The 14,097-nt window shown below is 42.1% G+C and overlaps 1 long non-coding RNA gene across 7 annotated transcripts in view; it reads right to left on the bottom strand.

Moving 5' to 3' along the window:
• The window catches only part of LOC107983981 (uncharacterized), a 417,903-nt gene that overhangs the window by 235,781 nt on the left and 168,025 nt on the right, over nucleotides 1–14,097 (bottom strand). For 5 of the 7 annotated variants that reach the window (XR_004837530.2, XR_932257.3, XR_004837531.2 and 2 more), the window contains one exon: nucleotides 10,025–10,174. This is a non-coding gene — a long non-coding RNA (uncharacterized LOC107983981). Of the gene's footprint in view, nucleotides 1–269; nucleotides 3,744–10,024; nucleotides 10,175–14,097 lie in introns of those variants that run through there. The other 2 variants (XR_004837529.2, XR_007064642.1) reach the window with 2 other exon arrangements.

Genomic DNA, 14,097 nt, shown 5'->3' with positions numbered 1-14,097 from the left:
TACTCTCAACATCTAGTAGGAAGCCAGACATATAAACAGTTTTTGGTTTTTGGTTTTTGGGGTTTTTTAGTGTCATAAATAAATACTATAGGAAGTCAAGTATAAACTACCAAGGATACAAAGGATATCATCATTTTTTCTGAGTTTGAGACCCAGCCCATCCAAAAATAATACACTGCCCTTTTATTTACATTTACATTCCTGTTGTTTTCTATGCGTAGTATGCATTCAAGATAATTTTATTCCTCAAATTCCCATCTAACAACATGTGGTGGTTACCATTTTATTGACATTTAATCCAATTGCCCATATGTAATAGCAACAATTACAGTTTTTTATCCCTGACATTTAGGTTCTCTGAATATTATGTGGCTTAAATTGGCACACAAGCTTTAACTGTCTTCAATTGCTGTCTGTCTTTCATTTTTCTGAGTTGAGAACATTTTAGCACCAGAATACACACACTTTTTCACATGCAAGCAAACACACACACACACACACACACACACACACACGGAAGTGTACACACAAAGGCAGTGTCTGGGTGCCATAACTGAATTCGTCTCTGCCCACTCAGTCTGCTTTTTTTTTTTTTTTATCATTTCGATCGATTACGCAGCAATCAACTGGACTGATCATGTGGCAGCCCGACCAGGTCATTAAGTTGACTGTGATAATCAGATCAGCTAGGAAACATTTCAGTTCCTTTCTCATCTAGAGATGGCAGGAGTCTCCCATATCCAAAAATTTTGCGACCCCAGATAAACATCATTGCTTTAAGCCAGTATTTCTTTTTCAGGCCATTCACATAATTTAGATCTAATTGCCATGTTCCCTTTAAGCATCACTTTTTGAAATAAGCACACAGGATATGAAATCAAAACTTGGAATGTAGATGCAACATCTACAGAGACTCTCCTGTTAAATAATGCAGTTGGAAAGAGGCACCACTGAGACAACAAGGCTTCTTGGTTGCTGTATAAAGGGCTGAATTCTGATGATGCTTAATTTCTCAATTCATAATTCCAAAGTCTGTGCAGCAGCTATGTCTAGTTAGCTACATCTTCATGTCCTGCAGGGTGGTGGGTGCAGCTGGGCAGCAGCAGGCTGCTGGTTCAGGTTGATTGTGTGGCCTGGCCTGAAGAGCCTCCTGGGACCAGCAGTGTTCTGCAAATTAAAGTCGGCCTGGCCTGAAGGTCAGCAGCCATCCCCCAGCAGTCACTGGCCGTCCCAGCCCACTGCCCTTGAGAAATTGGTGCACTGCAAAACATATTTGCTCAGATACAGAGAAAGCGATTCTTCACCTAATTACATCCATTTGGCTCTGAACAGATAGATCAGGTCTCTTTGTGGGATGAACAAAGCAAGAAGGAATGTTTATTTGTTTCTTAAATCTCTCCAGATTTTTCTATACAGAAGCTATGTAGCTCAGATAAAATAATGAATGTGTATGCTTTGTGAATTATGCACACTATATAAATGAGGGAAAGGGAGAGTGAGCAAAGGATGGAAAGGGTATGCACCCCACTCTAGGTTTGTCTTACACAAATGGCCTCCGTGGATTCCCATCTACAAACAGCTTCCAACCACAAATGCCTTCTCTCCAGTCTCTGCCAAAATAACAGCCATGCTTTATTATTCAAGGGCTTCTCTGAGTGCTGCTGTTCAGTCTTTCTCAGCTCTTTGAAATATCTTTACACATTTGCAGACAGAGCTGTTTTAGCCAAGCATTTCACATGTAAAATACTTTGTTAACTAGGTTAAATCAGTAGACAGAGAAACCCAGTGGAGTGTTCCACAAGTACCTATGCAGTAGCTTGAGAACCATAAAACACTAGTGTGCCAGACCATGAGGCCAGGGCCAATTGACCTTAAGCCTATTTGGGCAAAACTGCAAAGTAGGTAACATTTCTCTTTGGCCAAAGAGGTTTCCAGAGATTTTATCCTCTGCCCCCTCTTTTCAGCTGGTGTCCAGATGAGTTCCTTCATTCGTTGTCTACTCCTTCCCCACCCCCATTCCCACTCCCTCAGTTGTGTCCTGTTAGACCATTCACACTAAAATATATGACAGTCCTCTTGGGTTCAGCTATATTGTAATAGGGATTAATATTAAAGGATGAAGTTCTACACAGAATTTCAGGCCTTGATCATGGATGGATGTAGGATCATATGAGCCTTTCTGACACCCCTAAACATCCTTCCCTGTTGGAGGCTGCTAATTTCTCTGCTCAGTGCTGTGCCCCCAGGACTATTCCCTCATGGCTGAAGGTTTTCAGCCACAAAGAGGGCTGACTTAGAAATTATCTTGAGCATAGTATTTGATCAGGGAGCCCTATGAAAACATGATCCTGGAGAAATAAGGAGGATGAAGAGCTGAGAGTGAGAGCAAGCTTTCACCCCAACTCCATCAAATTCATCAGAAAAGTAAGGGTGTTTATTACCATCTATTTACCGCACAGCACCTTGCAGAAGGCAGTGGAAGCCTGTCTCAGAAAGACTTTCAAATCTTCGTATTAAAGGGATTGTACAGTTGAAGAACAAAGAGATACAAAGCCCTAATGAACAGTTTAAAATATTATCGCCATTCTAGTTTCTGGTCTCTAAGAGAGAACCACAGCTTTTCTAGTTATCTTATCTTAATTTCCAAGTAGTCCTAGCTGAATTGTTCATTTATTTCCAAGACCATGTCATTAGTTACAAGGTTAAGATTCAAACAGGCAGAGTAGAAGAAAGAAAAGCAAACTGGTGGAAGAAAAATGGACCCCATGACCTTTAGGAAGCATTTTGTTTGAAAAGCACACATTTCATTCTAGCTAATGGTATAAACACACAGATGTGGGGAATGGTCTCTTTGCTTTCACCCCACAGGTTTAGGGTTTGTCTAACTCTCCCACCCTGGGTTGAGCCAAACATCTTTGGGACCCCGACATGGAAGTACTGTCTCTTCTATTAGCCTGACTATATGGAATAGTCACCTTATTCTTGGTGAGCCTATAGTAAGCCCCTGAAAACAGAGGTTTGTCTTGTTGGAGAGTCATTAATTTGGCCTTAATTTAAAAAAAGTTGATTCTAATAACAACCTGTACCTATATTCAGTTCAGAAAACTCTATGCTAAGGAAGAAAAGCAGGAAAGAAGGAAGAAGGGGAAAAAGGAAGGAAAAAAGCAATGTGGATGTGTGTTATGGACATCCACACAGTATACTTAGTTGAATTGAAGCATATTCACTAATATTCTCCACCATGTTCTACTGGCTGAGTCATTCCTAGATCATCCAAAGTTGTATTCAATTTTTAAAGGAGAATAGAAGGAAAAAAACTAGACTGACTTTTTAGATTCTATCATTAACTGTGGTAAAGGAATGGTTTTTCAGCCCTTAGATAGCTAAGGGCACTTCATAATAGAATCCAGAGCCTTTCACCCCTAAATCACTGATTTGAATCCAACCCAGGTCACTATTGACAGAATGTTATTACCTCTAGGTGCTGTCTGGTAGCCCATGTGGAATGAGTTGATGGTCTCTGTCCTGTTCCATGTGGACAGTTGCCCATGTCACCTCATTGTCAGTTTCAAACGAGAAGCCAAGGAGTTAATGGATGTGGCGCCTGAGGCCCCTCACACTGCAAGGTGGTGCCCTCCAGGTCAGAGTGGAGGACATTGGCTGCGATGTGTGAAGCTGGGCCCCGATCTCCCTCATCACTTTCCAGGACATCAATCCATCTCGTTGTTCCACAGTCACCTTTGCTAGGGACAAAGAATAAAAAAACATGGCTGGGATTTTAGCCAGGATTTGTTTTCATTCTTCCTGGCAAGAGAGGCTCCAGTGATGCATTCAGCTTATATGAACTTCCAGTTCATGATCCTAATCAGAAAAACTGAAATTTGTAACACCACAGGAAAGCCATATGAATATTCAGATTACAAACCAAATGTTATTGGATTATGTTTTCTACTTCCTTTGCTATAATAGATTTTGCTGCAGAATAAAGGATCTGAGTTCAGCCAGAGCCACAAGCACATACTAGAATTTCTATTCAAGAGGACAACGACACACATATTTGAGAAAGGCCATGTATACTCCATGACTGTACACATGACTCCTACCTGAATGAAACTTTAGAAATCATGTAATTCAAACCCCATCTCTTTTTTTTTTTCAATGAGCAAAATGACATCCACATAGGCAAAGCATCTTGTTCAAGGTCACACAGTGGGAAAACAACACGACTAATTCTGAAGTCCTGTAATCCTGAATTCAGAATTCAGAAGGTCTGCAGGGCTCTTCCACAGAGGCATTTATTTCTTTTCACTTAGCAGGTGTTTATTGAGCACTTCCTGTGAGCTGGGCTCTCTTCCAGGACCTGTGGGGCAGTAGTGATGATGATGGAGGTGGGGGATGGATACAAGAAGGAAAAAGCGAAACTTTCCCAGTTCAGCAGGTAGCACAGAGCCTGGCATAGTGAGATGTCAATAAACAAGAACAAAAGAATGAATGAACGAATGAATGAACAAAAGTTTGAAGATAGGGGTTATTTTCTGTTTGGTGTTACCAAAAACATCCCAAGACAAAGATTGGAGTACAAGTAGTTTATTTGGCGGGAGAAGTCAGGAAGCAGTGGTAGAGGAGAGGGAAAGTGAAACAGGAAGGAGATGAATGGTGTATAGACGGCATCAGTGAACAGACTGCTGCTGAGGGTAACTGGGGCTCAGCCCCACTGCGGACTTCTGAGAGATAGTGAGAAATTCCTCAGGGCCAGAACATCATACAAGGTGAGGATGCTGGGATATATGTTCAGCAGCTCCCATTCTTCATTGACCAAGGGCTATACAAGCAAGATATTAACCTCCAGCACTCCTGGCCTTCCTATGTGGCAGCAAAGCACACTCCTGCAGGCACAGACAGCCTCAGACACTTGCAGTAGGAAGCCATCAGCCTTTTGAGAACATGAGTGTGGAGGGGGTGTGAGCAGGACACCAACAGCTTCTGCTATAAGGATTTGTGATCTTGTTTAAGAATAGATCTAACATTTAGAAGTTATCTTTGCTTATTACTATAAGGAGCAAAGATGGAGGGCTCAGAGAAGACCTGTAACATGGGCAGCAATAACTATGTGTGCTCAGTATAGGGTCAAGTACAGGAGAAGGTGCTGCTCACGTGGCTTGGCTCTCTGCATTGTCAATTTCTTCCCCTTACACTGGCAACCAGCAATTTGGCGTGCTCCTGTCTCCCACCTCTTCGCCTCTCTGCTCTGCTGCCTCCTCTGTAATAGCTCCTTTGCAGAATTTCTTCCTGCAAAATCCCTTTCCTGCTCCCCACCCAGCTGCCACCCTCTCCACCTTATTGTCTTGCTCTCTGAGCCCCCAGAACTGGAGTTTCCCCCTCACATTTTATCCTCCAAATATCTTCCCATATTTTCATCTCCTCCCCAATATTCATGGTAACAAATTGGAATTTGTTTCTGAATAGCAGCAGACAATAGTTGCTCAAGAGAGTTAGTGAATAAATGAATCACCACATTACTAAGTCAAGATGCTAGCAGTGCACGTAGGAGAACAGGCCAGACACTGAATTGAGAATTTCATAGCAACTTTCAGTCCAATTCCTGAAGAAAATTAGACAAACCCCACAGCCTTCAGGAATCAGCTGAGTTCCAATGATGTTTGCTAGTAAAACGAAGTAGAAAGCCCCTTGGAATTCTTGCGACCAAGCACTGTGCAATTCCCAGAATCTTCCCCTGGCTTCAATTTCCCTCAAAGAAACTGTCTCAGTAATGTACACAGTGCAACAAGATTGCTAAATGCACAGACATTAAAATAAAGTTCAGGGAGGGAAATCTGTCTCAGAAGATGTCAGTGAATATGAGGAATTGTCTTGTGTTTCCCTCTTGGGCAAACCACAAGGATTTGGAGGAGAAACGTCATGCAGAAATAGATGTAAGAATTTTTAACATTCTTTTCTTTTGGGGTGGGGGTAAGGGACTCCCAATAGTTAAGAAGGGCCTATTGTGTGCAAGGAGATATTCCAGGTGCTTTACATAGTAACTCATTTAATCTTAATACAAACTTACAAATAATAATAATAAGGGGCAATATTTACTGAGGCAGTATTCTGGACACAATGCTAATACTTCAATATACAATCTTGCTCAATCCTCACAACACCACGTAAGATAAGTACAATTATTATCTTCATTTTACTCATGCATAAAGTGAGGATTTGTTATGATCTATAATCACCCCAAAATTACACATCTCACTTGGAACCACTGGTTCAGGGATCCACATGATTGTCTGACCAACTCTGTAAGCCATTCGGTTTCTACTGTATCACTACTGTCATGTGGGCAGCCCCATGATCTTTCACCTAGGAATCTTCTTTATATGGTGCCACCAGTGTCATGAGGTAAGGGAGAATTTGGTTACCTTCAGAGATATCAACTTCAGAAAGTTTGGGACACAGACCACCAAAGACCTTGTTTCTTTATTAATCCATGGATCTGACATCCATGAATATCCAAGGCTTGAGATTTTACACACCAGAAGGTCACTTCTGGTCTTCACTGTCATTTTCACAATCCTACTAAGATCAAGTCAGTGAGAAGTATTTTCCTCTACTCCTGCAAACCATAGCCTTCTGCTGGAGGCAGGATGAGATCTGCAGAATCTGCAGAAGTAGCTTTGTGCATAGCTCTTAATACTGGGCCCAAGTCTGCAGGGACTGGGAAATGAGAGCAGCGCAAGAAGGCATAAGAGAAGGCCCAAGATGCGCAGCTATGTCAGGAGAGACATACACATTTGCTCATCTGAGGGACAGATGGCTAAGGCAGTTTTGTGTTGACCCCAAGAAAGCCCCAGCTCTAATCAGTAGAGCCCACAAATGCTGTAATAGTATAGCAAATAACTTTGAAAACAAACCCAAAGGGCATTGTTGGGTCCAAAACTCAAAAACAAAGCTTTCTGGAAACTTGCTAGTTTCTTGATCTCAACCATGGTGGTAATTGAAAGCCCACAACCCTAGCCATCTGAACCACTCTTTGCTTTTAATTTAAAGCATGTGCAGACTTCAAATTACAATCTGGATGGGCCTCGAAAAGTGATTTGGACTTGCATTTCCCAAGGACACAGCATTGCTAGTAAAAATTACCAGGGCTGCCCATGATAGCCAACTTAACCATCATCTATTGCACACAACTTCCTTAATAGCAGATTTTGAGCTTCCATTTGGGATGACGAGAATATGTCTTCTGCTGACCCCACCCCCAGAGCAGACATGCATACAGCAGAGATCCCACTGTAGACCGAGGGTTCACCAGTGGGTCCATCAACAGCACCTCCTCCCCAGCAGCCGCCAGGTTCCACATGCAAAGAAGGGATGGGAAGGGTGGGGAGCAACTACCCCAGCATGTGGTGAAGAGGCACCTGAGGGGTCACAGAATTGGAAGGCAAATGGTGGGAGGTGGATGACTTCACCTCTCATTTGCAAAATGTGGGTGATGTACAGGGCTCCAGCGAGGATTAAACAAGAGAGTGGATCGAAAGGTGTCTAGCATGGCATATGGCACTTGGTATACAATAAATACATGTTTATTAAGAGCATATTTGCATTGTCAATGGAAAACTTTATATTATAATCATAATCATAATGCTTTATATTCATGTAGTATTTCTCATTTCATAAAACAGCTCTGAATATTTGAACTCCAATCTTTGCAACAGTCTTCAGGGTGGATATTAACATTATTACTGTTTTACAGATGAGGAAACAGAGGCTCAAGATGACACCGTGACTTGCCCAAGGCCACACATGGATAAAGCCCAGGTACTTCCGAGTCTACCCTGCAGGGGAATCAATCATACATTCCTTGGCTTACTACTGTAATGACTGGAAACAGTACCGTGTGACCTCTCATTGTGAAAGCAAGAATGCAATAGGCAGTCATGACCTTCCCGAGTTACACAAATTTGCCTTGCAGAGAAAGCAGAGTTAAGTGAGAACAATGATTAAGTGGAACAAAGGCATTCACTAGAACTCAGCCCTCTGGCTTTTTCTTCTACTCTCAATTCCCTACATAGCAGTAAAGATGACTGACCCTGACACTCCCCTCACTGGCCTTCCATTTACTCCCAGGGACAACCCAGCTTGTTATCTGAACACCCACACCTCTTCCTTCAACTTCCCTGCTAGAAAAAAAAAAAAACCCTTTAGAAAATAGTTCATCTGCTAATCCAACATCTCCCCACTTTCTAGAAGTCAGCAAAGTCTGCAAATTTCTCCAAGAGCCTATTCCCATCTTTAATTTTCCCAGTGTTTTCCTGGCTGTGCCACAGGCAGACACGGTTGGGATGGGGTCAGGGATGAACAGAGCCTGCGGTCATTATCCTAGGCCACAGTCCTCAGCTTGGTCACCGCCTCTAGTTGTACACGTATTTTAAAGCCGACGCTTTTTCATCCATTTGACCTTTCTGTTCCCATCAGCCTCAGACCATTACCATGCCTGGCCACACGTTTACCGAGGAGGGAAACAGGAACCTCTTCTGTCTGTCTGCTTTATCAACCACAGTCACAAAAAAGTCTACTCAGAACAAAGATGTTCTCTGTACCCTTCACCTGGCACGTAATTCTGGAAAGAAAAAGTGTATTTAATGGTGAGAAAGGAAGAACAGAGTTGAAAAAGGCAGCCCCCAAACGAACACCAGGCCACTTTCCCTTTCTGGCTCCTTACTGCAAGCCACCCTGTAATGGTCGACAGCACACACAAAGAGGGAAAAATTGCTTCTGGGGCTAAACATTAAAACAAAGGCAGCCCAAAGCTGGTTAATTCTTTGAATGAGACAAACATAAATGGCGCATGGATGTGCAGTAAGGTGTAAAAAAGGAAGTGAGATGCATTAGAACCAAGAGTGCATAATGTATTATCAACAGCTCTGCGGCTTTGATGGGCAAAGGCTTTTATACAGACGCCGTATTGATAGGTATTTCAACCAGCAGTAAAAAACTGTTCTTGACATTCATCTGTAGGGAAAAATATCCATGTACTCTTGGCTTTAGGACCAATTAGTCTGTGAAAGCAGCGGGGTGGGGGGACAGAATATAAATGCAGGATGCATCCGCACTTGATTACTCTAATGAAATGTCCATTGATTCCTATAGATTAATGTGAGAAGAACAGCAGCTGCAGAGTGGCTAACACCTCCAGGTCAGCGGCTGTGTGTGAGGGTGTGCATGTGTGCATGTGTGTGTGCACACCCCCACGAGTCTTGTGCCGCAGAGAAGAGAGAAATTAGAAGAGAAGGGTATGGGTGGGTGGGTGAGACTGATTGTACTGGACAGAATCAAGGAAAGGAAGGGTCTTGTTCCTTTTGAGGAGGGGAGAGCGAGGAGTGGCTGTGTGTGTCACTGGACAATAGGAACCTAGCTCAGCTACTTTCTGGGACAGGGAAGGCGAGCTCCACTTCCCTCCCCTCTGCCCTCTTCCCATCCACATTTGACTTTGCCGTAAGGGGGACAGAGAGCTCACAGGTCACCTAGTTTGGTTCCATTAATTTCATATGGCCTTTAGTCACCCAGAGCAAATGTGGAGTTCAAAGATGGCTCTCTGCCAACTCACTGGTGCTCACCCTCCACCCCAGTGCTGAAATCCTGCTGCTTGCCCAAGCCAATATTGTGCCTTGGGTAAATGTGCCAAACTAAGTAATAAATACATTTGCCAAGCTCAAAGGACCCAACCCTTCCCCGAGTAATTACTGGAGCACTATTCTACCCCTCCCAGATTTGGCATCAATTTAAATGCTAGATCACAAGAGCAAGAAAGTTTAAAGGGTGCTTACCTCATCACCAAGCAAACAGCCCTCCCGTGGCCACAAAGACCTCCTTTACCACCCAGCAACAGAAGGCCTGAGATCTGCTCAGTGTTTTTTACCTAAAATCTCCCCTGGCAGTATGAGTGCACAAAAATCATTTACATAAAAATTTCAATTAGCTAGTATGTCTTTGCTCCACCTGGTTCACAACAATTTCTACTTACAGAAAAGGGAGTAGTGGAAAAGTCTGAAAAGCAGGAGACCCCTGTGCCTGCAAGCATTCAGCAGCTGCAGAAGTGCTCTGAGAAAAACCAAATCTGCTGCAGTGTCTCCAAAAATGATTTTGAGGTTTCTGGACACACTCACAGGGTTATCTGCAGAACAGCAAAAATAGAAAAACTAGTGAGAAGTAGTCACCCTGAAAATCTTTTTACACGCAGAGAGGAACTTCTCCAGCAAGAGAATTCACGACCCAGTGAAGATGAGTCCCATCTAAGGTAGGAACTAGCAGGTTCAGTGTTCACAGCCATGTTCTTCTGACATCTTTAGAGGACTTGAAAGGCTAGTCAGAACATGCTAATCACTCTTACTTCTGTTTCTCTGACTCCTTATTTGTTAAAGACCAGAAGAAAAGAGACTCTTCACTGGGGAGCTAAGAAAGTGGATGACCAGGGCAGAATGCATCAGCAAAGCTGCTAGTGAAGTACCAAGCGTGGATAGTTTCTGCATGTTTTACCACAAAATGTATATATTCAGCATCTGTATATTTGTTTGTTTATTACTGTTAACTTGGTTTTAGATATGGTCAGACACAGATCCCTAAACTGGAATTTTATGGAGAGAGAGACAGAATAAGTAGATGCCAAAACTCTATGTGTGCACCAAATCTGATTGATTAATATATAGATAGATACCTAATTTAAAAAAAAATACAGTCGTGTTCTGTCACCCAGGCTGGAGTGCAGTGGCACTATCTCAGCTCACTGCAATCTCCGCCTCCCAGGTTCAAGTGATTCTTGTGCCTCAGTCTCCCGAGTAGCTGGGATTTTCGTTTTTTGTTTCTTGTTTTTTGTTTTTTTGTAGAAACGTTGTTTCACCATGTTGTCCAGGCTAGTCTTGAGCTCCTGGCCTCAAGTGATCTGCCTGCCTCTGCCTCCCAAAGTGCTGGGATTACAGGCGTGAGCCACTGCGCCCGGTTTAGATGCATAATTTTAAATGCAAATAGGCTATAGTCATCTTCTGATTGCTCTCCAGCTAAGACAAGTCTTTCCAGTTTTCCAAGTCTCCTTCACCTGTCGGCACTATGTAAGTCTGTGTTTTAAGGAGTACAGGCCTAACGCTCTTTTTTTATTGAGAAGCTGCAGAACTCTAACCGGTGGTTCAATAAATTGTATTACATCCCCCTCGCACTGAATGCCCTACACGCTATGGCTTTCCATGTGTAATTGCAAGCTGTTATTAGCCCTGAGCTGTGTCCGTTACTGGCCACACTCTTGCTGAGCGGTCAATTTTTTCCCCTGCCATTTCCTTTGCTCACACCATGCTGACCACGTTGGCCAGAGGCGGCCCGAGGTTTATAGTGCAGCATTGATTTTTCTTTTCTCTCAATACTGACAGAATCATAGATCCAAGGCAAATAAAGAAATGCATTCTGGGGTGATGAAATGTCTTTCATTCAGGCTGGATTGAATCAAAGCCCATCACAGAAATGTAGGGCTCTGAAATGCTAGAGAAGCTCATGCCTCAAATTGTGGAAAAATAAATTTTATGTTTTCTCCACTTTCCTTTGGATTCGTAAATCACTGGGGACACAGATAGTCCAGCCAGTGACCAAACTTGGGCAATGGGGACATTGTAAACAAAGAGTCTCTGTTACCACCTTCATTAATTAGGTTATTGCCTGTAATTCTGTTTTGAAGGATAGTCATTTATTAGCTTAAGTAACACCCAGAGTCTTCCACAGAACTGTCCTACTATAAAAATACTGACTGAGGCTCAGTCTCTTCTAAGAAATGCAAGATAGCAATTCACATAGATTTGTGAAATTCAAGCTCGCTGCCTATTATGGAGGGGCAACAATGACTGACTGCAATAAATTGAGGCAATCTTCTTTCAAATAACTCCAGTTGACACTTGGTGAAGTGTAAATATGACCTTCACTAATTAATTTGGTGATAATCATACCTTGTTTATAGACATTAATCCAAGTTTGATCTTTAGCACACACCAGAGTACATGCTCACAGAGACGGTAAGATAGTCAATGGAAAGACTCCTAGAGCAGGAGGTCAGGAGATCTGAATTTTCATCTTTGCTCTTTTCCATTAACAACAAGCCATTAGCCTGAACACATTACTGTACCTCTCCTGGCTTTGTTACTTCATCTGCAAAATAAAGATTGTAATACTGACTATGGGCGGTTTTGGTGGTTCAGTGGAGTGATGTATGGGAAGTGACTGGTACAGAGCCTGGCACATGTCATTCATTTGTGCCTTGTGAGTGGCTGAGTGCTAACTATGGGTAGGCACCAAGGTAGACACTAAGCATATAACGGTAAATAAAGCTGACTCCTGCCTTTGTGGAGACTATAGCCTGGTGGACATCACATAAGGTGCTGAAAATGACTGCTAGTTTATGATTATTATTATTATTACTTGTAGTGGTGAGTTTTACAAATGAAGGAGGTGGGATGCATGAACTTAGGTCCTTTCCAGCTCTCAGGCCCTTTAATCCATGATCAATAATAACTATCTGTGTGTGTACCTTTTCATGCATATCTGATTATACGTATAATTAGTATGCAGAAATGGTTTGCACTTAAGCAGATCTATCTGCCAAATGGCTTATTCTCTATATCCAAGTTTGGGACCATTCAAAACTCATGTGTATATTTATTTGTTTTCCATTCTGCCTAATTCCAAAAAAAAAATATTAAAGTAGTGTATCTTTTAAAAGCAAATTGAAGTTTCCTAGAATGCACAAAAAATAACCCACATTATTTTAATCTACCTGAACATTAAATCCAGGTCCCCAAAACCTGAAAATATTACAAGTATAGCCATTAAGTTTGACTATTAAAGGTACGTAGAGATACCAAGTATCATCTGTGGTTTCTGGTGATCTTAAAGACTAGACACCTCTCTATGACATTTAAGGTTTTTTCTTGACCCAATCAACATCTTTTAGACATTTAAGTTTTAGAGAGAAGAAACTTTATGTTATTTTAGATTTATCCCAGGTGGCTGGCACATAATAGGTGCTTTATCAATGTGAGTCCACCGGTCAACGAATGTCCTAATCAGTCAGGCAGTCAGGCTCTCTTTTAGGTCCTGGAAAAACCTCTATAATTCCTTGGGCTTTGGAAAACATGAATGCAGGAACCCATGGGAGAGGAGAAATTCCGTAAGTCAGAAATGCCTAGTATCTTCTCTCTGTACCAACTGGGAATAAAGAAGGAAGCAAGACTTTTCATCTTTGCTTCTGACTGACTCTGTCTCAAATTGTCCTCTAGGAAGAATGGCCTCTTTATTTTGTTTGGTTTTTAAATATCAAAAGAATATCTCTTTCAATGTTTATTGACACATAAGCTGGTTTTGAACAGCCTTTACCATTTTTCTGAATTTGGACAGTGACAGGTCACCCCTTTGAACATCTGTTTGATTTTCTACATATAACATAATTCCAATGACTGACGTAGAATTATAAGCTTAAATTACATGCTTATAAAATGCTAATATGTATAACATGTACTTCTTCTGTTTTTTAGATGATCTAGTCAATTATAAAAGCCATTACTCACACAAGGTACATATGTCAATTTAGCACCGTTCTTAATTCCAGACTCTACTATTCTTAGGTAATTTATGTAAAGTATATATTATAATCACTTAAGCCAGGATATACTCTGCTCAGTTCTACCTTTGGCCCTGAGGAATGTGCATTCAACAAGCATTTTCTAAGCACCCAGGACATGTCAGGGTCTGGATCTCTGCCTTCCTGGAGATCCCTGGGGAGACAAATGCAGCAAAAATTCAAGATTCAGCCAGTGGGGGCCATGATAGAGGACGTGCCCAAGGATGTGGAGGCCTAAGGTACAGTTTGCATCTGGAGTGAGAGGCATGGGCCAGAAAAGGCTTCCCAGGCATTTCTGAGATGAGATTTGAAGGAAGAATAGGACCAAGGGGCAAAGGAACTTGAAGCAATCTGCAAAGGAGGAGGAAGAGTCCACAGGAGTCAAGGGAATGTGTTCCTTGATTTCAAGGTGAGTATTCTCTTGTATTCACTTCCTAGAATGACCC

This window comes from Homo sapiens, chromosome 15 (genome assembly GCF_000001405.40).
Source record: "Homo sapiens chromosome 15, GRCh38.p14 Primary Assembly".
In the NCBI taxonomy this organism is placed as follows: Eukaryota; Metazoa; Chordata; class Mammalia; order Primates; family Hominidae; genus Homo; species Homo sapiens.
This window is presented reverse-complemented; position numbering and strand designations above follow the sequence as displayed.